Source organism: Homo sapiens, chromosome 12, assembly GCF_000001405.40.
Source record: "Homo sapiens chromosome 12, GRCh38.p14 Primary Assembly".
Lineage (NCBI taxonomy): Eukaryota > Metazoa > Chordata > Mammalia > Primates > Hominidae > Homo > Homo sapiens.
Window position 1 is genome coordinate 120,530,501 of NC_000012.12, and position 23,657 is coordinate 120,554,157.

General features: G+C 45.5%; 2 protein-coding genes across 3 annotated transcripts in view, besides 2 other annotated features; both read left to right on the forward strand.

The window, feature by feature from the left end:
- Nucleotides 3,754-3,907: a silencer, noted in NCBI's record as "fragment chr12:120972057-120972210 (GRCh37/hg19 assembly coordinates)". NCBI's record gives its function as "represses an EF-1alpha promoter that drives an FKBP-Casp9 reporter gene in an ReSE screen in K562 erythroleukemia cells {active_cell/tissue: K562}" and the evidence as "EXISTENCE:reporter gene assay evidence [ECO:0000049][PMID:32094911]".
- The window catches only part of RNF10 (ring finger protein 10), a 43,233-nt gene continuing 23,431 nt past the window's right edge, over nt 3,856-23,657 (forward strand). For both annotated transcript variants that reach the window (NM_001330474.2, NM_014868.5), the window contains exons 1-3: nt 3,856-4,468; nt 15,905-16,101; nt 21,999-22,198. In NM_001330474.2, the coding sequence (NP_001317403.1) occupies nt 4,312-4,468; nt 15,905-16,101; nt 21,999-22,198 (554 nt within the window). In that variant the 5' untranslated portion in view covers nt 3,856-4,311. The remainder of the gene's footprint in view (nt 4,469-15,904; nt 16,102-21,998; nt 22,199-23,657) is intronic.
- Nucleotides 4,006-4,075: a silencer, noted in NCBI's record as "silent region_4954". NCBI's record gives its function as "represses an Ori minimal core promoter by ATAC-STARR-seq in GM12878 lymphoblastoid cells {active_cell/tissue: GM12878}" and the evidence as "EXISTENCE:reporter gene assay evidence [ECO:0000049][PMID:35858748]".
- On the forward strand, nt 4,197-4,457 carry LOC128071547 (uncharacterized). Its single transcript, NM_001414895.1, has one exon. The coding sequence runs from the start codon at nt 4,197-4,199 to the stop codon at nt 4,455-4,457; it is 261 nt and encodes an 86-aa protein (NP_001401824.1).

Consider the following 23,657-nt stretch of genomic DNA (forward strand, 5'->3'; position numbering starts at 1 on the left):
CAACCCAGGAGTCACTGGTTGCAGTGAGCTGAGATTGCACCACTGCACTCAAGCCTGGGTGACAGAGCCAGACTCCATCTCAAAAATAAATAAATAAATAAATAAATAAATAAATAAAGTCTCATCAAAGAATCTTATATCTTCCATATCTAGTTATATAAAAGAATGGATCTCAGGATTTAGGGCTGTTCCTTCTGCACATCAGATTAAGTATCCAGACCAACAGTATTTCACTGTTCTCTTATTTCATATGATATGTGGAGGAAAACCTGTAAAAAGTGAAGTAGGACAAGGACTGTTGGAAGGTATTTTTTTTTTGAGGTAGCGTCTTGCTCTGTTGCCCAGACTGGAGTGCAGTGGCATGACTTCGGCTCACTGCAACCTCTGTCTTCTGGGTTCAAGTGATCCTCCTGCCTCAGCTTCCCTAGTAGCTGGGATTACAGGCATGCGCCACCATGCCAGGCTAATTTTTGTATTTTTAGTAGAGATGGGGTTTCGCTATATTGGCCAGGCTGGTCTTGAACTCCTGACTTCAGGTAATCCACCTGCCTCAGCCTCCCAAAGTGCTGAGCCACCACTCCCGGCGCTAATTTTTGTATTTTTAGTAGAGATGGGGTTTCACCATTTTGGCTAGGCTGGTCTTATTTACTTATTTATTGATTCATTCTTTATTTTGAAATAGGATCTCACTTTGTCACCCAGGGTGGAGTGCAGTGGCACAATCATAGCTCACTTCTCACCCTCCCAGGCTCAAGCCATCCTCCCACCTCAACCTCCTGAGTAGCTGGGACTACAGGTGTGCACCACCACACTGGGCTGATTTTTGCATTTTTTGTTGAGACAGGGTTTTGCCATGTTGCCCTGAATGGTCTTGAACTCCTGGGCTTGGGCAATCTGCCTACCTCAATCTCCCAAAGTGCTGGGATTATAGGCGTGAGCAACCGCACCTGGCCCTGGTCATTTCCTTAATAGCATGTCTATGTGATCTTTTGAATCTCAAACTACTATGGTTGGAAGGGAATCATTTGTAATTTTCCAAAGTACAAATAGGTGTGGTATGATTCCCAAAGTCTTAGCGTCTATATCTGTAAACCATATGTTTTTGTTTTTTGTTTTTTAATTTTTAGTAGAGAATTGGTTTCACTATGTTCAGGCTGGTCTCAAACTCCTAACATCAAGTGATCTTCCTGCCTCAGCCTCCCAGAATGTTGGGATTGAGCTACCTTGCCTGGCCACATACATGATTTTCCTTTTTTTTTCTTTTTTTTTTTTTTTGAGACAGAGTCTCGCTCTGTCACCCAGGCTGGAGTGCAGTGGCCCAATCTCAGCTCACTGCAACCTCCGCCTCCCAGGTTCAAGCGATTGTCCTCCCTCAACCTCCCAAGTAGCTGGGACTACAGGTGTGCGCCACCACGCCCGGCTAATTGTTGTATTTTTAGGAGAGACGGGGTTTCACTGTATTGGTCAGGCTGGTCTCGAAATCCTGACCTCGTGATCTGCCCGCCTCGAACTCCCAAAAAGTGCTGGGATTACAGGCCTCCCAAAAAGTGCTGGGATTACAGGCCTCCCAAAAAGTGCTGGGATTACATTGCACCTGACCCACATACATTATTTTCTTTCTTCTTTTTTTTTTTGAGATGGAGTCTCGCTCTGTTGCCCAGGCTGGAATACAGTGGTGCAGTCTTGGCTCACTGCAACCTGTGCCTTCTGGGTTCAAGTGATTCTCCTGCCTCAGCCTCCTCAGTAGCTGAGATTACAGGTGCGCACCACCACGCCTGGCTAATTTTTTTGTATTTTTAGTAGAGACGGGGTTTCACTATGTTGGTCAGGCTGGTCTCGATCTCCTGACCTGTTGATCCACCCGGCTTGGCCTCCCAAAGTGCTGGGGTTACAGGTGTGAGCCACCGTGCCCGGCCCCATATGCATGATTTTCTAAATCTCAGTCTGTATCTGTAAAATGAGGAACTGCTTGTCTCATAGGTAAGAACATCACTTGTTAGCTATGTGATAATAGGCAAATTATCTGGACTTTTGGAGTCCATTTACTCATCTTTAAATTTTATTTATTTAGGGACAGAGTCTTGTTGTGTTACCCAGGCTGGATTCATACTCTTGGGCTCAAGTGATCATCCCTCCTCAGCCTCCTGAGTAGCTGGGACTACAGGCACACTTAGTCTAAAATTTAGTTATTGAGAAGATTAAATGTGATAATGTTAACAGCTGTTAAATACAATTTATAGGAGCCCATTGTTTTGCACTGAGCTTCAGCACAGTAGACCAAACCAAAACAGAGTTACTCAAGGTGAATTTCTACCCAACCACGCCTAAACGAAATTGTTTATCTGACCTTCTGAGAAATCATCAAATCCCCAAACTGGTCAGTTTTACCCCACATAAGGAAGTCCATTCTGCTTAAACCTTTACAAGAAAAGTAATTTTGAAATGACTAATCTGCTTTTTGTTCTCTGTTTCTACTTTTTAAAAAAAAGTTTAGACAGGGTCTCCCTCTCTGTCACTCATACTGGAGTGCACTGGCACGATCGTATCTCACTGCAACCTCCAACTGCTGGGCTCAGGTGATCCTCCCACCTCAGTTTCCTGAGTAGCTAGAACTACAGGTGTGCAGCCACAGCCACTATGCTTGGCTAATTTTTTTTTCTTTCTCTCTTTTAAATTAAAGTTAGTTTTATTCAAACTATTTTATTCAGAGCCCAGCTAATTTTTGTATTTTTAATAGGGTCGGGATTTTGCTATGTTGGCCAGGCTGGTCTTGAACTCCTGGCCTCAAGTGATCTGCCCCCTCCTCAGACTCCCAAAGGGCTGGAATTACAGGTGTGAGCCACCACGCCCGGCTGCCCAACTAATTTTTTAAAAAATATTTTTATTCTTTAGAGACAGGGGTCTCGCTATATTCCCCAGGCTGGTCTGGAACTCCTGGCCTCCAAGGATCCTTCCACCTCTGCCTCCCAAAGTGTTGGGATTACACGCATGAAACACTGCTTATGGCCTGTTTCCGCCTCTGTCTCCTGGGTAATGGGGACCACAGGTGCGCACCGCCACGCCAGGCTAAAGAAATAAAGTGATGTACTGTATGAAGAAGTGCCGTAAAGTGATATTAAATGTAAGGTATTGTCATTATTAACGTTATTATTATTATTCCTAATATGAGATAGACTAAAGGCCATAAATCAATTGGTATTAACGCTAGAATAAGAACCATAAATTGGCCGGGCGCGGTGGCTCACGTCTGTAATCCCAGCACTTTGGGAGGCCGAGGTGGGCAGATCACGAGGTCAGGAGATCAAGACCATCCTGGCTAACACGGTGAAACCGTGTCTCTACTAAAAATACAGAAAATTAGCCGGGCGTGGTGGCGGGCGCCTGTGGTCCCAGCTACTCGGGAGGCTGAGGCAGGAGAATGGCGTGAACCCGGGAGGCGGAGCTTGCAGTCAGCCCAGATCGCGCCACTGCACTCTAGCCTGGGCGACAGAGCGACTCCGCCTCAAAAAAAAAAAAAAAGAACCATAAATCAAACGAGTCTATAAAGGAGTTCCACAGGTATTCCAATGTTTGGCTACATTATTATCAGTGTATATTATTATTGTTACTGTATTTTTAGTGTACTAAGTGAAAAACCTGGACTTGGAGCAACTGCAAGTCCCATTATTTTGAATGCCCTCACAGTGGGGTTGGGGCGGAGGTGGGGGAGGAAATAAAAAAAACAAAACCAAAACAAACAAACAAACAAAAACCAAAAAACAAACCACGAGACCCGGATGTAGGCAAAAACTACATTTCCCAGAATACCTCACCCCCTCTCCACTATATATACAGTCCATCCGGGTTCTTTGAGATGCTGTTTGGCGACTCGTCGCCATTCCCGGAGCAGGTCGGCCTCGGCCCAGGGGCGAGTATCCGTTGCTGTGTCGGAGACACTAGTCCCCGACACCGAGACAGCCAGCCCTCTCCCCTGCCTCGCGGCGGGAGAGCGTGTCCGGCCGGCCGGCCGGCGGGGCTCGCGCAACCTCCCTCGCCTCCCCTTCCCCCGCAGCCTCCGCCCCGCCAGGCCCGGCCCGGACTCCCGAGCCCCGGCCTCCTCGTCCTCGGTCGCCGCTGCCGCCGGGCTTAACAGCCCCGTCCGCCGCTTCTCTTCCTAGTTTGAGAAGCCAAGGAAGGAAACAGGGAAAAATGTCGCCATGAAGGCCGAGAACCGCTGCCGCCGCCGACCCCCGCCGGCCCTGAACGCCATGAGCCTGGGTCCCCGCCGCGCCCGCTCCGCTCCGACTGCCGTCGCCGCCGAGGCCCCCGTTGATGCCGCTGAGCTCCCCCAACGCCGCCGCCACCGCCTCCGACATGGACAAGAACAGCGGCTCCAACAGCTCCTCCGCCTCTTCGGGCAGCAGCAAAGGGCAACAGCCGCCCCGCTCCGCCTCGGCGGGGCCAGCCGGCGAGTCTAAACCCAAGAGCGGTAAGGACGGGCCTGCGGCAGTGGGCGGGGGCGACTGCCCCTGCTGCTGGGGAGAGTCGTTGCTCTCATCGGCTGGGTTACTCGGGGACAGGCTCCACTTTCTTTTATAGCTCCTACCTGCCCTTTTCCATGGCTCTCATTTGCAGTTACATTAATGAGCGCTGTGCTGCGTGGTTTACGTGGATCATTTACATTAATACTCAAAACTGCTCGATTAAGCAGGTGCTGTTCTTATCGCCATTTTGCATATGATGAGAAAGGGTAAGGTCACCCAGCTAGTATTTGGCTCACAGCAGGCCTTAAGACTTGGTTTGTGTGACTCATCAGTCCACGCTCCTAAAACCACTAAGTTGTTCTACCCTTTAATGTTGAATTAACATTGGATAGTGTTCAAGTTTAGATGGGTGGGTGAGGGCCCAAGGACCTTTCAAACTCAGATCTCTTATTTAATAACCTGGTCCCAGATCCATTCCTCTGTCGAAGAGGAAGTCATCCTTCAGTGGCTATTCATTGTGGGGTTAAGAGCGCAGACTATGAATTCAGTCTTTTTGGGTCCCAGTTTGCCAGACCTTGAGTGAGTGCCCCGAGTTTACTTACTTGTAAAGGTAGGTGGAGGTAATATAATTAAATAAACTTAAAAAACTAATTAAAAACAAAACAAATGAACTAAGGTCTTAGGATATCTGGCGTCTATTTTGCGCCAAATACACATAATGTCTATTGTTGTGTGTTGGACTATAGGATTGTCCTTTAACAGGGAAGGTTTTATTTCTGTAATCAAGTCTGTCAATATTATGACCATGTTGATAATAGCTACCTTTAATTGAGGGCTTACCATGTGCCAAGTACTAGGTGAAGTTTTTACCTCTGTTTTCACTGTGCCAGTCACTGACTTGTCTACCAGGGTGAAATTGTTCATATTTAAAGAAGGAATAAACTGAGCAGGTAGGATGTTAGGAGTTGGCAGAGGCTAGAGTCCCGGTGTTCTTCATTTTATTTCGAAGTTTGTACTAATCTCTGCTCTCTTTTGTATTTCAGTCACATTAGCAGTAATAGGAAGGTGTTTTCAGCGACAGTGGGGATGTTGTGGCAGAGAGGGAAATATTTGAAGTCCCTAAATGTGGAGGTCCAGTTTAAAACTTGTCAAGATTAAAAAAACTGTTTAGAGTGAGACCGGGCGCGGTGGCTCATGCCTGTAATCCGAACACTTTGGGAGGCTGAGGTGGGAGGATAGCTTGAGCCCAGGAGTTTCACACCAGCTTGGGCAAGATAGTAAGACCCTCGTCTCCATAAGAAAAAAAAAAAATTAGCCGAGTGTGGTGGCACACACCTGTAACCCTACCTACTTGGAAGGGTAAGGTGGGAGGATCGCTTAAGCTCAAGGAAGTTGAGGCTGCGGTGAGCTATATCACGATACTGCATACCATCCAGCCTGGGTAACAGAGACCCCCATCTCTAAACAGTAAAAAGAAAACTAAGGCTGACTTAAAACAAACAAAAAAAACAGAAAATTGTAAGGTCTGCTAACTCGCTCAGAGTTCACCTGCTGGATATGGCAAACTTGTTTACCTGGTGTGAGACCATTGGAGTATGGGTTCTCGGGCCGTGTCAGGAAATGGCATGTATGCAGACTGATTTTGCAGTTCTGCACATGCGTAGCTTTGCCATAGATCCCTCAAAAGATAGAAGGTAACCAGTCCTTTTGGTCAGTGTTGGAACTGGTTTAGAGTGGTCTGTTCAAAGCAATTGATAAGTAAGTTTATTTTTGTACTCTATTCCCAGATGTATGTTAAGGATTTGGTTCTCCAACTGTGAATTCTCAACTAATTTTTCTGGGGCTCCTCTTTAAGCCACTAACATACATTCATTAGTCAGTTGCAATAAATGCCTTAAGTTTATTTCTTAGCAGTAGGTGAAAGCTTGTGACAACTTAAAATAAAACAAACAAACAGGTATTTAAGGAATTTTACTGCTATGTCCTTCACTTTGAATATGTTGGTTAGTGGAATTAACTCTGATTACCCAACAAGATGATACAGAATTCTATAGTAGTTTGACCAAAGCAAGTATTTGTCATTGTTAACATTTCAAATGGGCTGGGTGGCTATAATCCCAGCACTTTGGGAGGCTGAGGCAGGCCGATTACTTGAGCCCAGGAGTTCGAGACCCTGTCCTACAAAAAAATAAATGAGCCGGGCGTGGTGGCACGCACCTGTAGTCCCAGCTGTGAAGAGGCTGAGGCAGGGGAGGAGGAAGAGCACTTAAACCCAGAAGTTCGAGGTTGCAGTGAGCCACGATCACTCCACTGCACTCTAGCCTGGGTGGCAGAGTGAGACCCCGTCTCAAAACAAGAAAACTTCTGTAAAAACTCATGTAGGCCGGGTGCGGTGGCTCACGCCTGTAATCCCAGCACTTTGGGAGGCCGAGGCAGGTGGATCATCTGAGTTCAGGAGTTTGAGACCAGCCTGGCCAACATGGTGAAGCCCCGTCTCTACTAAAAGTACAAAAAATTAGTCCGGCGTGGTGGTGCGCACCTGTAATCCCAGCTACTCGGGGGGCTGAGGCAGGAGAATCCCTTGAAACCGGGAGGCGGAGGTTGCAGTAAGCCAAGATTGCACCATTGCACTCCAGCCCGTCTAAAAAAACAAAAACTCATGTAAAGGCCCTTTGTTAGATTTTACAAATAACACATATGTGCCTTGAGGCAGCATTCTTTTTTTTTTGTTTAATGTGTGTGTTAGAAAGCTTGACCATGTTTGCCACCGCCAGTGTCTGCTTTTCTGGCTTCTGCTGTGCGTGTTCGTTTAGCAAGGAAGGATGGGCTTTGTAGCCAAATCCATGCTTCTTCACTAGCCATAATCCACTGCTTGCATTTAGGAACAAATTAAAAGGCAGGATATGTGGAGATTAAAAGGTTAGGAAACTGGATATTGGCTGATTTTTAAAGTTGAAACTAAGCTGCCTTAGGAACGTAACAGCTAAGACCAGTGCTACTACAGCAGATACTCAGGAGCTCTGATGCAGTGACTTCACGATGAGATGGTTGCTCTAACAAAAGGGTACACTCAAGCTCCGCATAATCCCATAAAAAGATTTCTGCAGTATCTCATAAGCTGAACACTTCATATACTTGATTCTGCTGGGAATCATTGAAAGGACCTCTTGAATTACAGAGTACTGAGTTGAGGGGAAAACAAGCGTAAGGTGAAAAGATAGTTTATCTTTTGTCAAGGTGAAAAGAGCAAGAGTTTTCAGTATTCAAATATTTAAGTCACTTTTTTTCTCCCCCTTTTCTACCTCGTGGAAGAAAGCCCTTTGGTTTCTATTCTGTAAACTGTCATTAATGGCCATTTGCTTCCTAGCTACATGATTAATTTCTTTGAGATTTTGTTCCAGTGGCTGGCTTAAATTTGCCCTTCATTTGTACACAGGAAATATGTAAATTTGGCTACCAGGATTTTCTTGATCTTTCCGGCTAGAGTCGCATACCACAGTTTCTTTGCCTGGGCTAATTGCCTGAACATTTATATAACATTCCTTTTCTTGATTATATTCCTACAGCTTCATTCCAGTAGTGTTAATAGGTATTTCTGAGAACATGCAGCAGTAAATATCCTGTGAATATAGCTCAGAGGAGAGAAGGTGGGTTAGAAAGTGGGGAAAGTCATTTAGAGGGAGCAAAGAAAGAGAGGCAAGAGAGAAGGTAGGCCGTTTATGGGCAGGCAGTGGACTCTGGCCAGGAACCAGGCTCTTGTCCCATCCCCCTGGGCCGATAGAACTGCCAGGGAGGTTAAGGGAAGGTCAGGTATTATGAGGCAGTTATTTTGAGGTTGGTGGTATGAAGCACTGCCCTGGCATTCTTCCTGTTATTCTGGTACCAGAAACCAGGTTACTAGTGGTAATCTGCCTTGAAGAATGCCTCTGAGCTGTAAATGGACCTGGAGATTTTAATGGCTTTGAAAATTGAGGTGATTTGAAGCCTTCAGTAAAACCACTTAGAGAAATTAAAAGAATTTCAGGGCCCGTTGGCTGGATTCCTTGGTTTATATGGCTTCATTGGAAGTCTAGTGGGTGCTCTTGACAGGAACGCTTTGGATTTATTAATGATAGGCTTTCAAATCATAGTAAAACTGTGTGTCAGCCACTATGGTAGGCATTTTACAGAAGTTTTCTTTCTTAATCCTCATGATTCTATGAGGAAGTATGGTAGAATATTAGTCCTGTTTCACAGAAAAGAAAATAGAGGCTTAGCAGTGTTAAGAGTGATTTGTCCAAGTAAATTTTTATGAAGTCCTAGGCGGTATTTTTCAATAAGCTTTGTATAATCACACTTAGCAAGCAGATAACTTACTGGCATGTGCATCATTCCTGATACCACCTCTCTCTTCCTTTCATTCAGAATTACTAATTTCAGCTGGATTCAATTTGTTGTCAGTTGATTCTGTAGTAAGGCCATATGTTGCCCCTCTGGAGGTGCTTGTCAACTACTCTGGATGATGGGTAAGCAACTTGCTTGTGATTACAGCATGAATCAGCAGCAGAAACTTGCTGACTGGTATTCTGACCTCTAGGCCGAGCCACCTGTTAGAACTAGAGCTAGAAATGAAGATGCCAAGTAATTTAACTGTGAAAAACTTGTGGCCCTTAATTTGGTAATGGGGGGAGGCTGAGATATACCTACTGCTACTTGGTGGAGACCTTTCCATTAGGGAAATGTGGAACAACTGAGAAGCTGGGTTAAGTTTTTAAGTCATTTATTTGTCGACTCTGGAGCCTGAGTTTAGTGGTCTTGTCCATTTTGGAATGTGTCTTGACAGTAGTTCTTGGCAGTTGTTCTCAGTGGTGGCTGTGCATCAGAATCTCCTCAGGAACTTTTTTTTTTCCCTCAAGACAGTCTTGCTCTGTCACCCAGGCTGGAGTTCAGTGGCGCGATCTCAGCTCACTTTAACCTCTGCCTTCCCGGTTTAAGCAATTCTTCTGCCTCAGCCTCCTGAGTAGCTGGATTGCAGGTGTCCACCACCACACCGGCCTAATTTTTGTATTTTTAGTAGAGATGGGTTTCGCCATGTTGGCCAGGCTGGTCTCAAACTCCTGACCTCATGAGGAACTTAAAAAAAAAAAAAATAGGGGTGTGTGGGGCCCCTTCCTAGGAATTTATTATCTTTTTTTTTTTTGTAGAGATGGGGGTCTCACCATGTTGCCCAGGCTGGTCTCAAATTCCTGGCTTCAAATGATCCTCCCACCTTAGCCTCCCAAAGTGCTGGGGTTACAGGCATAAGCCACTGTGCCTGGCCTTTTTCTGATTCTTTAAGCCTAGATTGAACCCGTGGGTCCTGGGCATTCATAATTTAAAAAGTCTGTGCAAGTGATTCTGGTGTGCAGCCAGGATTGAGAACCACCACTCTGAGATTTAAAACTTCACCCATAGTTCCTTCTCCCAGGAACTTGATATTTTTTGTTTTCCAAAATCTAAAGTGGATCATCTTATCACTCCTGTTCTACCCTCGAGTTTTTCCCATGTATATCCTGGCAAGTTGTCCACAAAACATTTCAAAAATAATACTCTGAATTTTATCTCTGGGTCCCAGGCCTGATGGTACCTTCAACCTTTAGCTGCCTTTTGCCTGGGTCTAGAGATAAGAGCCAGTCTCTCACTTGACATATCTGTCTTCATACCCTTAGGTAACTGGAAGACGAGAAACGAGTTGATTTTGGCAACTAAAATCACTAATCATGATGTGGTCAGTTGTTATGTGTTTTGGAAATGAGCAGTTTACTGTCTTATCAGTGAGCATTTCTGTAAGCATTATGAAACTGTTTCCTTGCCAGTGTGGTAATAAGTGAAGAAATGAAGACAGCCTTCTTGCTGAGTGCCAGTTTACTTTCTTTTTTTTTTTTTTTTTGAGACAGAGTTTTGCTCTTGTTGCCCAGGCTGGAGTGTAGTGGTGCAGTCTCGGCCTTGCCGCAACCTCCACCTCCCGGGTTCAAGCTATTCTCCTGCCTCAGCCCCCGGAGTAGCTGGGATTACAGGCATGCGCCACCATGCCCAGCTAATTTTTTGTATTTTTAGTAGAGACGGGGTTTCTCCATGTTGGTCAGGCTGGTCTCGAACTCCCGACCTCAGGTGATCCGCCCGCCTCGGCCTCCCAAAGCATTGGGATTATAGGCATGAGCCACCGTGTCTGGCCATTTTACTTTCTTAATAAGCCCTTGCCATGTAGAATCTGGCTTTACCTAAATCTATGCAAACCGTGAGGTGCATCTTGAAAGCAGCAGTTAGGGTCAAACAGGTAGGGTCCAGGATCATCTGAAACAGTCTTGGATAATGAGGTTGGAGGATATGTGTTTTCTTTATATACCTATCCTCGTAGAATCTCCTTTGCTTGAGGTGATGTGAAATGGAGTTAAGGAAAGCAAAGCAAGAGAATGTGGCTGAGTTAGCTGGGGTTCTGCATCCCCTGAGTTTTCCTTTTTTTTTTTTTTTGAGACGGAGTCTCACTCTGTCGCCCAGACTGGAATGCAGTGGCACGATCTCCGCTCACTGCTAGCCCCGCCTCCCGGGTTCACGCCATTCTCCTGCCTCAGCCTCCCGAGCAGCTGGGACTACAGGCGCCCGCCACCAAGCCTGGCTAATTTTTTGTATTTTTAGTAGAGATGGGGTTTCACCATGTTAGCCAGGATGGTCTCTATCTCCTGACTTCGTGATCCACCTGCCTTGGCCTCCCAAAGTGCTGGGATTACAAGCATGAGCCATCGTGCCTGGCTTTTTTTTTTTTAGAGACAAGCTCTCGCTCTGTCACTTAGGCTGGCATGCAGTGGTGCAAACATAACTGACTGAAACCTTGAACTCCTTGGCTTAAGAGATCCTTGAACTCTTGAACCACTGTGCCTGGTTTATCTTTTTCTTTTTTTTTTTGAGATGGAGTCTCACTGTGTCTCCCAGGCTGGAGTGCAGTGGTGCAATCTTGGCTCACTGCAAGCCCCGCCTCCCAGGTTCACACCGTTCTCCTGCCTCAGCCTCCTGAGTAGCTGGGACTACAGGCTCCCGCCACCACGCCTGGTTAATTTTTTGTATTTTTAGTAGAGACAGGGTTTCACCATGTTAGCCAGGATGGTCTTGATCTCCTGACCTCGTGATCCACCCGCCTCAGCATCCCAAAGTGCTGGGATTACAGGCGTGAGCCACCGTGCCTGGCCTTTTTCTTTTTTTGAGACAGAGGCTCACTCTGTAGCCCAGGGTGGAGAGCAGTGGTGCCATCATAGCACACCGCAGCCTCAACCTTGGCTTAAGCAATCCTTCCAACTCAGCCTCTCAGCTAGGACTGCAGGTGTGTGCCACCACATTGGGCTAATTTTTAAATTTTTTGTAGAGATGGGGTCTTGCTATGTTGCCCAGGCTGGTCGCAAACTCGTGGACTCAAGTGATCCTCTTGCTTTGGCTTCCCAAAGTGTTGAGACAACCGGCATGAGCCACCAAGTCCAGCGCTGAAACTTTGCTTTCTAATTGTTACTACTAGTGCCATGTTTGACACTAACTGTTGCTAACTGAAGTAATAGGTAAAAGTTTAGTTTTTAAGTTCTAACTTTATTTATTTGTTTTTTGAGACAGAGTCTCACTCTGCTGCCCAGGCTGGAGTGCAGTGGCGTGATTTCAGCTCACTGCAACCTCTGCCTCCCGGGTTCAAATGATTCTCATGCCTTAGCCTCCCAAGTAGCTGGGATTACAGGCGTGTGGCACCACACCTGGCTAATGTTTGTATTTCTAGTAAAGATGGGGCTTCACCATGTTGGCCAGGCTGGTCTCGAACTTCTGGCCTCATGTGATCTGCCTGCCTTGGCCTCCCAAAGTGCTGGGATTACAGGGAGCCACCATGCCTGGCCTTAAATTGTAACTAAGGTAAGGGTCACTGTCCGTAAGCAGGATTTAAGGGTAACTGGTAGGAGTGAACCTAGCCTGTTTCTGTGACTGTTCTGTTTACATTGCTGCCATTTCACATGGTTTAGATTGACTCCCAGGTTTTAGGTGGTCAGGTTTGGAGAGAATGACATCTCATTTATACAGTGAGGTTGACAGACTATGGGCGTGAAGTGGTTGCTTTCAAAATTTGGTCTCTGATTTATTAACTTACATTTTCTTCTTTCTGAGGCATTGTTTAACCTTGAATTTATTTAGCCTGCTATAAAAAGCTGGTGATTGTACTTACCAAGAAATAATTTTTTCTAAGTTTAAAAAAAATTACTCAGATAATATTACAGGTCTGCAGACAGGTACTTTAGTATAGTTATATCAGAATCTTAGAGGGTGAGGCCTGAGCATAGGAATTCCGTAAAAGCTCATCTGTGTGATTCCTATGAACTGGCAAGATTGAGAATCATTGTAATAAGATAAAAGTGGGGCCAGACCCCATGGCTCATGCTTATAATCCCAGCACTTTGGGAGGCTGAGGTGGGAAGATCACCTGAGCCTGGAGGATCGCCTGAGCCCAGGAGTTTGAGACCAGCCTGGGCAACATAGTGAGACCCCCGTCTGCACAAAAAAATTTAAAAATTAGGTCGGGCCTGATGGCTCACGCCTGTAATCCCAGCACTTTGGGAGGCTGAGGCTGGTGGATCGCTTGAGCTCAGGAGTTTGAGACCCATCTGGGCAACATGGCAAAACCCCGTCTATATCAAAAATATAAATTAAGCCAAGAATGGTGTATATGCCTGGAGTCCCAGCTACTTGGGGGGCTGAGGCAGGAGGATTGCTTGAACCCAGGAGTTGGAGGCTGCAGTAAGCCGAGATCATGCCACTGCACTCCAGCCTGGGTGACAAAAGTAAGATCCTGTCTCAAAATAAATTTAAAAATTAGCTGGGTGTGGTGGTGCACACCTGCAGTCCTAGCTGGGAGGCTGAGTTGGAAAGATGCTAAGCTGAGGTTGAGGCTGCAGTGTGCTATGATGGCACCACTGCTTTCCACCCTGGGGGAATAAAACATGCTGGGCATGGTGGCTCATGCCTGTAATCCCAGTACTTTGGGAGGCCGAGGTGAGTGGATCACTTGAGGTCAGGAGGTCGAGACCAGCCTGGCCAATGTGGCGAAACTCCATCTCTACTAAAAATACAGAATTAGCCAGGCGTGGTGGCTCATGCCTGTAATCCTAGCTACTTGGGAGGCCAAGGCAGGAGAATTGCTGGAACCCGGGAGGTAGAGGTTGCAGTGAGCCGAGATTGCGCCACTGCACTCCAGCCTGGGCAATAGAGTGAGACTGTTAAAAACAAAAAAAAGATAAACCAGGCATGGTGGTTCATGCCTTTAATCCTAACAGTTTGGAAGGCCGAGGCAGGATTGCTTGAGTCCAGGAGTTGGAAACCAATCAGGGTAACAAAGTGAGACCCCAACTCTACAAAAAAAAAAAAAAAAATTGGCTGGGAGTGTTGGCTCATGCCTATAATACCAGCACTTTGGGAGGCCGAGCAGATGGATCACTTGAGCTCTGGAGTTTAAGACCAGCCTGGGCAACAAAGGCAAACCTCGTCTCTACAAAAAACACAAAAATCAGCTGGACATGGTGGTGAGTGCCTGTAGTCTCAGCTGCTCAGGAGGCTGAAGTGGGAGGGTGGCTTGAGCCTGAGAGGTGGAGGTTGTAGTGAACGAGATTGTGCCACTGCACTCTAGCCTGGGTGACAGAGCAAAACCTTGTCTCTAAATAAATAAAGTGCATAAGTAATTATTATGTTGTTAGAGTATAAATAAATCGGTGTAACGGTTCTAGAAAGCAACCTAGGGATGTGTAAATGGCTTTAATGACCATATTTTATCTGTCAGTTCCACTTTTTGAGAATTTGACATAATCACCTAAGCCTCTGTGTAAAGAGACTCCCAATGGTATTATATTAAACTAACAAAAAATTAGAAGCCACCTAAATATACAACAATGGGGGATTGGTTACATTATTCTGTAAGTATGTGGCCAAGAAGGGTACAGCAATTAATCATGCTTCTGAAGACTAGGGATGCATAAAAATGCTCACAGAGTAGTAAGCAGAAAACAATATATCTTCTATGCTTGTCATTTTATATAAGATTTGTGACACGTATGTAAAATGGAGATTAAAAGGAAAACACTGTTAATGAGTTAGTGCTCTGTGGGTACTGGCAACTTTAAATTATTCTACACTATTTTCAGAATTGAACACATATTATAATTGAAGAGAAAAACAAGAAACATTTTTATTTTTTATTTTTTGAGACGGAGTCTCGCCCTGTCACCCAGGCTGGAGTGCAGTGGCACGATCTCAGCTCACTGCAAGCTCTGCCTCCTGGGGTTCACGCCGTTCTCCTGCCTCAGCCTCCCGAGTAGCTGGGACTACAGGTGCCCGCCACCATGCCCGGCTAATTTTTTTTTTTTTTTTTGGATTTTTAGTAGAGACAGGATTTCACTGTGTTAGCCAGGATGGTCTCAATCTCCTGACCTCGTGATCCGCCCACCTCGGCCTCCCAAAGTGCTAGGATTACAGGCATGAGCCACCGCGCCTGGCCATTTTTAAAAAGGATATGACTCAATCTGATCCAATATGCTTTTATTTATTTAATTAAATTTTTTTTTGAGATAATCTTGCTCTTTGCCCAGGCTAGAGTGCTGTGGCACGATCTCGGCTCACTGCAACCTCTGCCTCCCAGGTTCAAGCAGTTCTCCTGCCTCAGCCTCCCAAGTATCTGGGATTATAGGTGCCCGCCACCATGCGCGGCTAATTTTTTGTATTTTTAATAGACATGGGGTTTCACCATGTTGGCCAGGCTGGTCTCAAACTCCTGACCTCAGGTGATCCACCTGCCTCGGCCTTCCAAAGTGCTGGGATTACAGGCGTGAGCCATTGCGCCCAGCCCCCAGTATGCTTTTAGAGCTCAACTTCTTTTGTTCTGTCAATTTAACAGCTTCTGAATTTGACCTCTAGAGCTTCTGTAAACACAGTTTTGCTGTTAATGCCTTTTGAATATATTTGCTAAGGCCTAGGACAACCCCTTGTAGTATAGAATCTGGTTATGTTATAGTAATTTAAAAAGGAATCTCTTCTGTCCTGTTACCAGGTAAAATACTTTTCCTTAATACAGAATGCCTGTTTCATTTCCTGTAACTTTATCTGACTGAACTTTTACAAGGACAGTGGTTAAGCTGTGTAAAGTAAAGACATTATGGATTGAGAATCCATGTGGTTTGATCTACGCTGTGTTTGTTTTGAGGGAGGGGACCCGTTAGGCTTCATTATTGCAAGAAAAAAACACTCTACTATGTGTTGTCTTGCTCAAAGCACTCATGCTCTGGCCCAAACCCAGATTCCTGAAGGTGGTCAAAGGGCCTATTCACCCTTATTTTTTGCTGGGAGGTGGAGGGCAGTTGGCTAAGTGAATGTATCAGCTTCTTAAGACGTTCTTTTGTGTTTCTTGCTTTCAGATGGAAAGAACTCCAGTGGATCCAAGCGTTATAATCGCAAACGTGAACTTTCCTACCCCAAAAATGAAAGTTTTAACAACCAGTCCCGTCGCTCCAGTTCACAGAAAAGCAAGACTTTTAACAAGATGCCTCCTCAAAGGGGCGGCGGCAGCAGCAAACTCTTTAGCTCTTCTTTTAATGGTGGAAGACGAGATGAGGTATGGAATTTGAGAATGTCCTTTCTAGAGCATAAGCATGAGATCTGATCCCATCCCCCGTCCCCCAGTTTATCAGTAGTTGAGAAGGGGAACAAGAGGTAGAGGAATAGATAATCAAAGCAGTCTTGAGTAGGCGAGAGGGTTAACCAGGTTTGAAACCTTGCCTCCTTTTTTCCCCTGAAGGTTATGAAAATTTCTTTGGAGGAAGGAAAATTTCCTTTATGACAAATTTGGGGTTCCTTAATTTGTATGGTCTTTCTGTTATCACTCTTGAATTAGAGGTACTTTTTGGAATATTTAGGTAATAAAATGACATTAATGACATTTGCCTTTGTAATCTAGCAAAATGTAAAATGCATATATCTATAGTCTCAAATTTTTTTTAGGAGTTTCTTAGCTATGCTTCTGTAAGTGCATAAAGACATTTATGTACAAGGGTATTCACTGCTTTGTTTGTAGTTGCGAAATTGGGAAATAACCTAAATGCCTATCTACAAGAGACTGATAGAGTAAATTACGTTTCATACCATGCAATTATGATAGAATAAGACAGATAAAAAAAATATAGACTGAGGGAAGTAAAGGGATAGAGAGTAACAAGGAAAACAGTTTTAGAAGGTGCTTTAAAGACACCTTCTCTGAGGAGGTGGATTTTGAGAGAGACCTAAAAGAAGCAAGGGAGCACACTATATGGTTGTTTTAAGATGGTCTTGCTCTGTTTTAAGATGGTCTTGCTCTGTAGTACATTGGCATGATCATGGCTCACTGCAGCCTTGACCTCCTGGGCTCAAGTGATCCTCCCACCTCAGCTTTGAGTAGCTGGAAATACAGGTGCATGCCACCATGCCTGGCTAATTTTTTTCTTTTTCTTTTTTAGAGAGTGGATCTTACTATGTTGTCTAGGCTGCTCTTGAACTCCTGGCCTTAAGCAATCCTCTCATCTTGGCCTCCCAAAGTGCTGGGATTACAGGCATGAGCCACCACACCTGGCCATGTTACATGGTTTTGAGGAAGAGTGTCTTAGCCTGAAGGAATAGCACATGCAAGGGACGGGAGGTGGTAGTGCGTTTATTGGTTTGAGGTAAAGCAAGTAGGCTACCGTAAGTGGAGGAGGAGAGGTAGGAAATGTACCCAAAGACTAGGAAAGGGATCAGATCATGTGGGGCTTTGAAGGACTTTGGCTTTTGTTCAGAGAGATGAGAAGCCATTGAAAGGTTTAAGGAGAAAAGTAAGGTAACCTGATGCGGAGTTTTAAAGGGGAAGAGTGGAAGCAGGAAGACTAAGAGACTACAAAGATATTCTTGGTGAGAGTGATGGAAGCTTTGAAAGAGGGTGAGTGATGGAGGTGGTGAGAGACGTTAAGATTTGAGATATTACTTCCATATAGAGCCAAGACTTTTTGTTAGATGTGGGGTCTGAGCAGAGAAAAGGATGAGTAATGTTTTTGGCATAAGCCCAATTCAGGTACCTTTTGCTGGAATGGAGAACATTCTTTCAAGAAGAGCACAAAGTTTTTTTGGGAGAGGGGAATAGGGTTGAGATAAAGAACTTCAGTTTGGAAATGTTATATGTACATTGAAATTCCTATTTGATAAATATAAGCAGAATATAAGTAGAGGTAGGTAGTTAACTGTGAATCAGCAGTCAAGGAAGAGACCCAGGTTAGAGAGCTGTCAGCATACAGTTGGTGCTTAAAGCTGTGGAACTAAGTGAGATAGATTAAGGAGTGAGTGTTCCAAAAACGGATTAGGTTCAAGAACTGAACCTCTGAGTCTGGATAAGAAACCAGCAGAAGAGAGCACAGTCAGGGCGGGAGGAAAATTGCTGAAAGGTGTTGCAGAAGGTGATCAGTTTTGTCAAGTGTTGCTGATAGGTTAAGAATAGGACTGAAAGTTGACCATTCGATTTGAAAATGGCATGTAGATTGGAGAGAATAGGAGGATGGGAAGAAGAAACAGCAAATTTACACAGTACTTTTCAGTGGCTTTGCTCTAAAGGGGAGCAGAGATGTGAGGCGGTGCTTGAAGGGAATATGAGCTTGAGGGATTTTTTTTCTTTCTTTTTTTTTTTTTTTTGAGATGGAGTCTCGCTCTGTCCCCCCAGGCTGGAGAGCAGTGGCGCAATCTCGGCTCACTGCAACCTCCGCTCTTGGGTTCACGCCATTCTCCTGCCTCAGTCTCCCGAGTAGCTGGGACTACAGCTGGGACTATTAGCCCACCACCACGCCCGGCTAATTTTTTTTGTATTTTTAGTAGAGACGGGGTTTCACCGTGTTAGCCACGGTGGTCTCGATCTTCTGACCTTGTGATCCGCCCGCTTCGGCCTCCCAAAGTGCTGGGATTACAGGCATGAGCCACCGCGCCCGGCTGAGGGATTTTAAGATTAGGGAAATGATAACATGTCTGTGCTCATGGGATGGTCCTGGTGAGAGGCAAAGTGATGTGGGGAAAAGGGAGAGAATTGCTGAGCAATGTCCTTGAGTCCTTGAGATCTAGTGAGAAGTGGAGCAGTTGTCTTAGATAGGAACTCTACCAGTTCATCCCCAGTAACAAAAGGAAGGCCTGGTGATGGAGGTGGGTTCGGAGGTAGTTGGAATTCTTTTCTGATTGTTCTAATTTTCTCAGTGGAATATCTAAGGTGAGCCAAGAGGAGATTTGGAAGCCTGAGGAGTGAAGGAGTTGTCTGGGAAAGTGAGGGAATGAATGGACTGCAGAAGCGTACTAGGATTGTAGTACTTCCAGGCACATGAGGGTCTACTGTGGTGAGGCTGGTTGCTGTGGTTGTATTTGTTAGCCCTGTTTGTCTGCTGCAGGGCTGATGTGGAATAGGAAAAGAGTTGAATTAATCAGGGGAAGGTTTTGCCAGGTGAATACAGCAGATATATGAAGAAGTGGGTGATGGGGCCGGGCGCAGTGGCTCACAGCTGTAATCCCAGCACTTTGGGAGGCCAAGGAGGGTGGATCTCCTGAGGCCAGGAGTTTGAGACGGGCCTGGCTAATGTGGCAAAACTCTGTCTCTACTAAAAATACAAAAATTAACCGGGCGTGATGGCAGGTGCCTGTAATTCCAGTTACTTGGGAGGCTGAGGCAGGAGAATTGCTTGAACCCAGAAGGTGAAAGGTGCAGTGACCTGAGATCGCACCACTGCACTCCAGCTTGGGCGACAGAGCAAGACTCCATCTCCAAATAAATAAGTGAATAAATAAATAATAAATAAAAATTTAAAAAAGGAAGTGGGCAGTGGACCACAGGATCTAAGCCAAATCTGAGGGGTTGGATCATTGATTTGGAGGTCCTAGTGGGGGTAAAGAATTGTTGGAGTCAGGACTAAACCTGGGGAAGGAGTGTATTCCGGTCTGGACAACAGAATGCTCAAAGTTAAGATAGTGGAAGAGGTTGTGGTTGTTGGTCTAGACTATAGAACACTCCTGTCTAATAGATCAAGCCATGTGTGTAATCATACATTTTCTAGCTGCCTGCGCTAGAGAAGTAAAAAGTCCATTTTAATATGTTTAATATATTAAATTCAATATATCTAAAATCTAAAAGTTTACCACGTGGTACAGCCACATTTCAAGTGCTTAGTAGCTACATGTAGCTACTGGCTGCTGTGTTGGACATTACAGCTGTAGAACGGAAACCTGTAGGTGTGGTTGGCTGAGATGGGAGGGGCAAGCTAATTGGAAGAGAGGAGGTCAAGGACCTGGAGTTCAGGGTATTGCGAGGATAATCAGGAAGTATGAGTGGCGTCAGAGAAAGTGACAGTGGGCCAGCTAGGACAAGCTGAAGATGATAAAAGGTTGAGAATGTGGAGGATTTTGTTGACTGAGCACAAGCTCTTAGATCTAAGTTTGGGGCATTAAGGGTGGAAGACCGTTTGATTAAAGAGATCAGAGCCATGTGGAGATGAAAAATAAGGGATGACCTGGAAGTCTTGGGCTTCCTGTGTTGCACAAGCAAACAGAATGTGGAGAATGTGGCGTTTTTTTGTTTTTTGTTTGCTTTTTTTTTTTTGGACGAAGTCTCGCTCTGTCGTCCAGGCTAGAGTGCAGTGGCGTGATCTCGGCTCACTGCCAGCTCTGCCTCCTGGATTCACGGCATTCTCCTGCCTCAGCCTCCCGAGTAGCTGGGACTATAGGTGCCCGCCACCATGCCCAGCTAATTTTTTGTATTTTTAGTAGAGACAGGGTTTCACTGTGTTAGCCAGGGTGGTCTCGATCTCCTGACCTCGTGATCCGCCCGCCTCAGCCTCCCAAAGTGCTGGGATTACAGGCATGAGCCACCACACCCGGCCCAGAATGCGGCGTTATTTTTAAGCTTGGTTGTTAATATAAAAAAGGAAGTTATCTGACTGGATGGTATACCACCAGTTGTATTTAATTATTTTTAATTTATTATTTTTGAGACAGGGTCTTGTGGTGTCGCCCAGGCTGGAGTGCAGTGGCATGATTGTGGCCCACTGCAGCCTTGACCTACTGGGCTCAAATTATCCTCCCACCTCAGCCTTCCAAGTAGATGGGACCACAGGCATGCATCACTAAGCCTGGCTAATTTTTAAATTTTTTGTAGAGACATGGGATCCCTGTGTTGTCTAGACTGGTCTCAAACTCCTGGCCTCAAATGATCCTCCCTCCTTGGCCTCCTAAAGCACTGGGATTATAGATGTGAGCCACTGCGCCCATCCTAGTGTTTTTTTTTTTTTTTTTTTTTTGAAATGGAGTTTTGCTCTTGATGCCAGGCTGGAGTGCAATGGTGTGATCTTGGCTCACTGCAACCTCTGCCTCTCGGGTTCAAGCGATTCTCCTGCCTCAGCCTCCCGAGTAGCTGGTATTTCAGGCACCTGCCACTGCACCCGGCTAGTTTTTTTTTTTATTTTCAGTAGAGATGGGGTTTCACCATATTGCCCAGGCTGGTCTTGAACTCCTGACCTCAGGTGATCCGCCTACCTCAGCCTCCCAAAGAGCTGGGATTACAGGCATGAGCTACTATTCCTGGTCACCCATCCTGATTTTATTTTTAAATTTTAGATTTTATTTTTTAGACACAGAATCTCACCCTGTTGCCCAGGCTGGAGTGCAGTGGCTATTTGCAGGTGTATCATAGTGCACTGCAACCTTGAATTCCTGGGCTCAAGTGCCCCTCTTCAGCCTCCTGAGTGGCTGAGAGTGCAGGTGTGCATTACCGTTGCCTAGCTTTGTATTTATTTTTAAAGACTGTATTACTCCATTCTCTCATTGCTATTAAGAACTACCTGAGACTGGGTAATTTATGAAAAAGAGTGGCTTAATTGACTCACAGTTCTGCAGGCTGTACAGGAAACATGGCTGGGGAGCCCTCAGGGAACTTACAGCGGGAGAACGGGAAGCAGGCACATCTTAGGAGGAAGACTGCATAAGAGGAAATGCTACATACTTTTTTTTTTTTTTGAGCTGAGGTCGCGCCACTGCACTCCAGCCTGGGTGACAGAGTGAGACTCTGTCTCAAAAAAAAAAAAAAAAAATTCCTCTTCCTGGCCGGGCGAGGTGGCTCATGCCTGTAATCCCAGCACTTTGGGAGGCTGAGGTGAGTGGATCACCTGAGGTCAAGAGTTGGAGACCAGCATGGTCAACATGGCGAAACCCTGTCTCTACTAAAAATACAAAAATCAGCTGGGTGTGGTTTAATCCCACACGCCTGTAATCCCAGCTACTCAGGAGGCTGAGGCAGGAGAGTCACTTGAACCTGGGAGGCAGAGGTTGCAGTGAGCCAAGATCGTGCCATTGCACTCCAGCCTGGATGACAGAGTAAGACTCCGTCTCAAAAAAAAAAGCTGTGTAAAAGGAGGGTTTTTTTTGGGTTTCTGCTATAAATCAGTGTCATCCTAATCTGAAATACTGATTCATTCTCATTCTCTCTAGGTAGCAGAGGCTCAACGGGCAGAGTTTAGCCCTGCCCAGTTCTCTGGTCCTAAGAAGATCAACCTGAACCACTTGTTGAATTTCACTTTTGAACCCCGTGGCCAGACGGGTCACTTTGAAGGCAGTGGACATGGTAGCTGGGGAAAGAGGAACAAGTGGGGACATAAGCCTTTTAACAAGGAACTCTTTTTACAGGCCAAGTGAGTATTGCTACCCCTCAGAGGAAAGGGAAAGTAGGACTCTCCGGATAGCTGTGGTGCCTCTGTGAGAGGCTTTTTTTAAGCTATTGTGGGAAAGAAGCAGAAAGGGAATTGGTCTCGTTCTTTTTCTGTTCACCACTGCCCCGCCCTTCCTTTCTTTTACCCACTTTCCAGGTGGATGTTTTTGGTACTTAATATAATGCTTAAATAACTTAGTATCATGATAAGGTAGAAAACATGTTTGGAATTGGACCTAGATTTGAATCTTGTTTCGGCCTTTGACCTTAAGTAACTTAACAGCTTTGAGATTTAGCCTCTCCTTTATAAGGAAGAGGAAAGGTTTTTTTTTTTTTTTTTTTTTTTTTTTTTTTTTTTTTTTTTTTTTTTTTTTTTTTTTTTTTTTGAGATGTAGTCTCGCTCTGCCACCCAGGCTAGAGTGCGGTGGCGTGATCTCGGCTCACTGCAACCTCTGCCTCCCGGGTTTAAGTGATTTTTTTGCCTCAGCCTCCCGAATAGCTGGGACTACAGGTGCATACCACCACCCCCGTCTAATTTTTTTATTTTTATTTTTGATAGAGACGGGGTTTCACCATATTGGCCAGGCTGGTCTCAAACTCCTGACCTCGTGATCCACCTGCCTCGGCCTCCCAAAGTGCTGGGATTACAAGCATGAGCCACCATGCCCAGCCAGGAAGAGGAATTCTTTTTTTTTTTTTTTTTTTGAGACAAAGTCTTGCTCTGTCACCCAGGCTGGAGTGCAGTGGCACGATCTCAGCTCGCTGCAAGCTCCACCTCCCGGAGCTTCATGCCATTCTCCTGCCTCAGCCTCCCGAGTAGCTGGGACTACAGGCGCCCACCCCCTGGCTAATTTTGTTTTTGTATTTTTAGTAGAGATGGTGTTGCACCGTATTAGCCAGGATGGTCTTGATCTCCTGACTTCATGATCCACCCGCCTCGGCCTCCCAAAGTGCTGGGATTACAGGCGTGAGCCACGGCACCCAACCAGGAAGAGAAAATTTCTTAAGAGACAATTGAATGACAAGTTGAAGTGCTTGGCATACATTTGCTCAAATATGATCCCCTTTTGTTTCCTTTTGTGTGGCCCTAGTCATAATTGAAGATTTGACTTTGGATCTAGACTGAAGTAACCGTTTTGTACTTTATATGAACTGATGAACTGGTTTCAAATACTAATGACAGTCTTCTGTTTTTTTTTTTTTTTTGGTGACAGAGTCTCCCTCTGTCGCCCAGGCTGGAGTGTAGTGGCGTGATCTCGGCTCCCTGCAGCTTCTGCCTCTCAGGTTCAAGTGATTCTCCTGCCTTAGCCTCCTAAGTAGCTGGGACTACAGGCGCGTGTCACCATGCCCGGCTAATTTTTTTTGTATTTTTAGTAGAACGGGGTTTCACCGTGTTAGCCAGGATGGTCTTGATCTCCTGACCTCGTGATTCACCTGCCTCG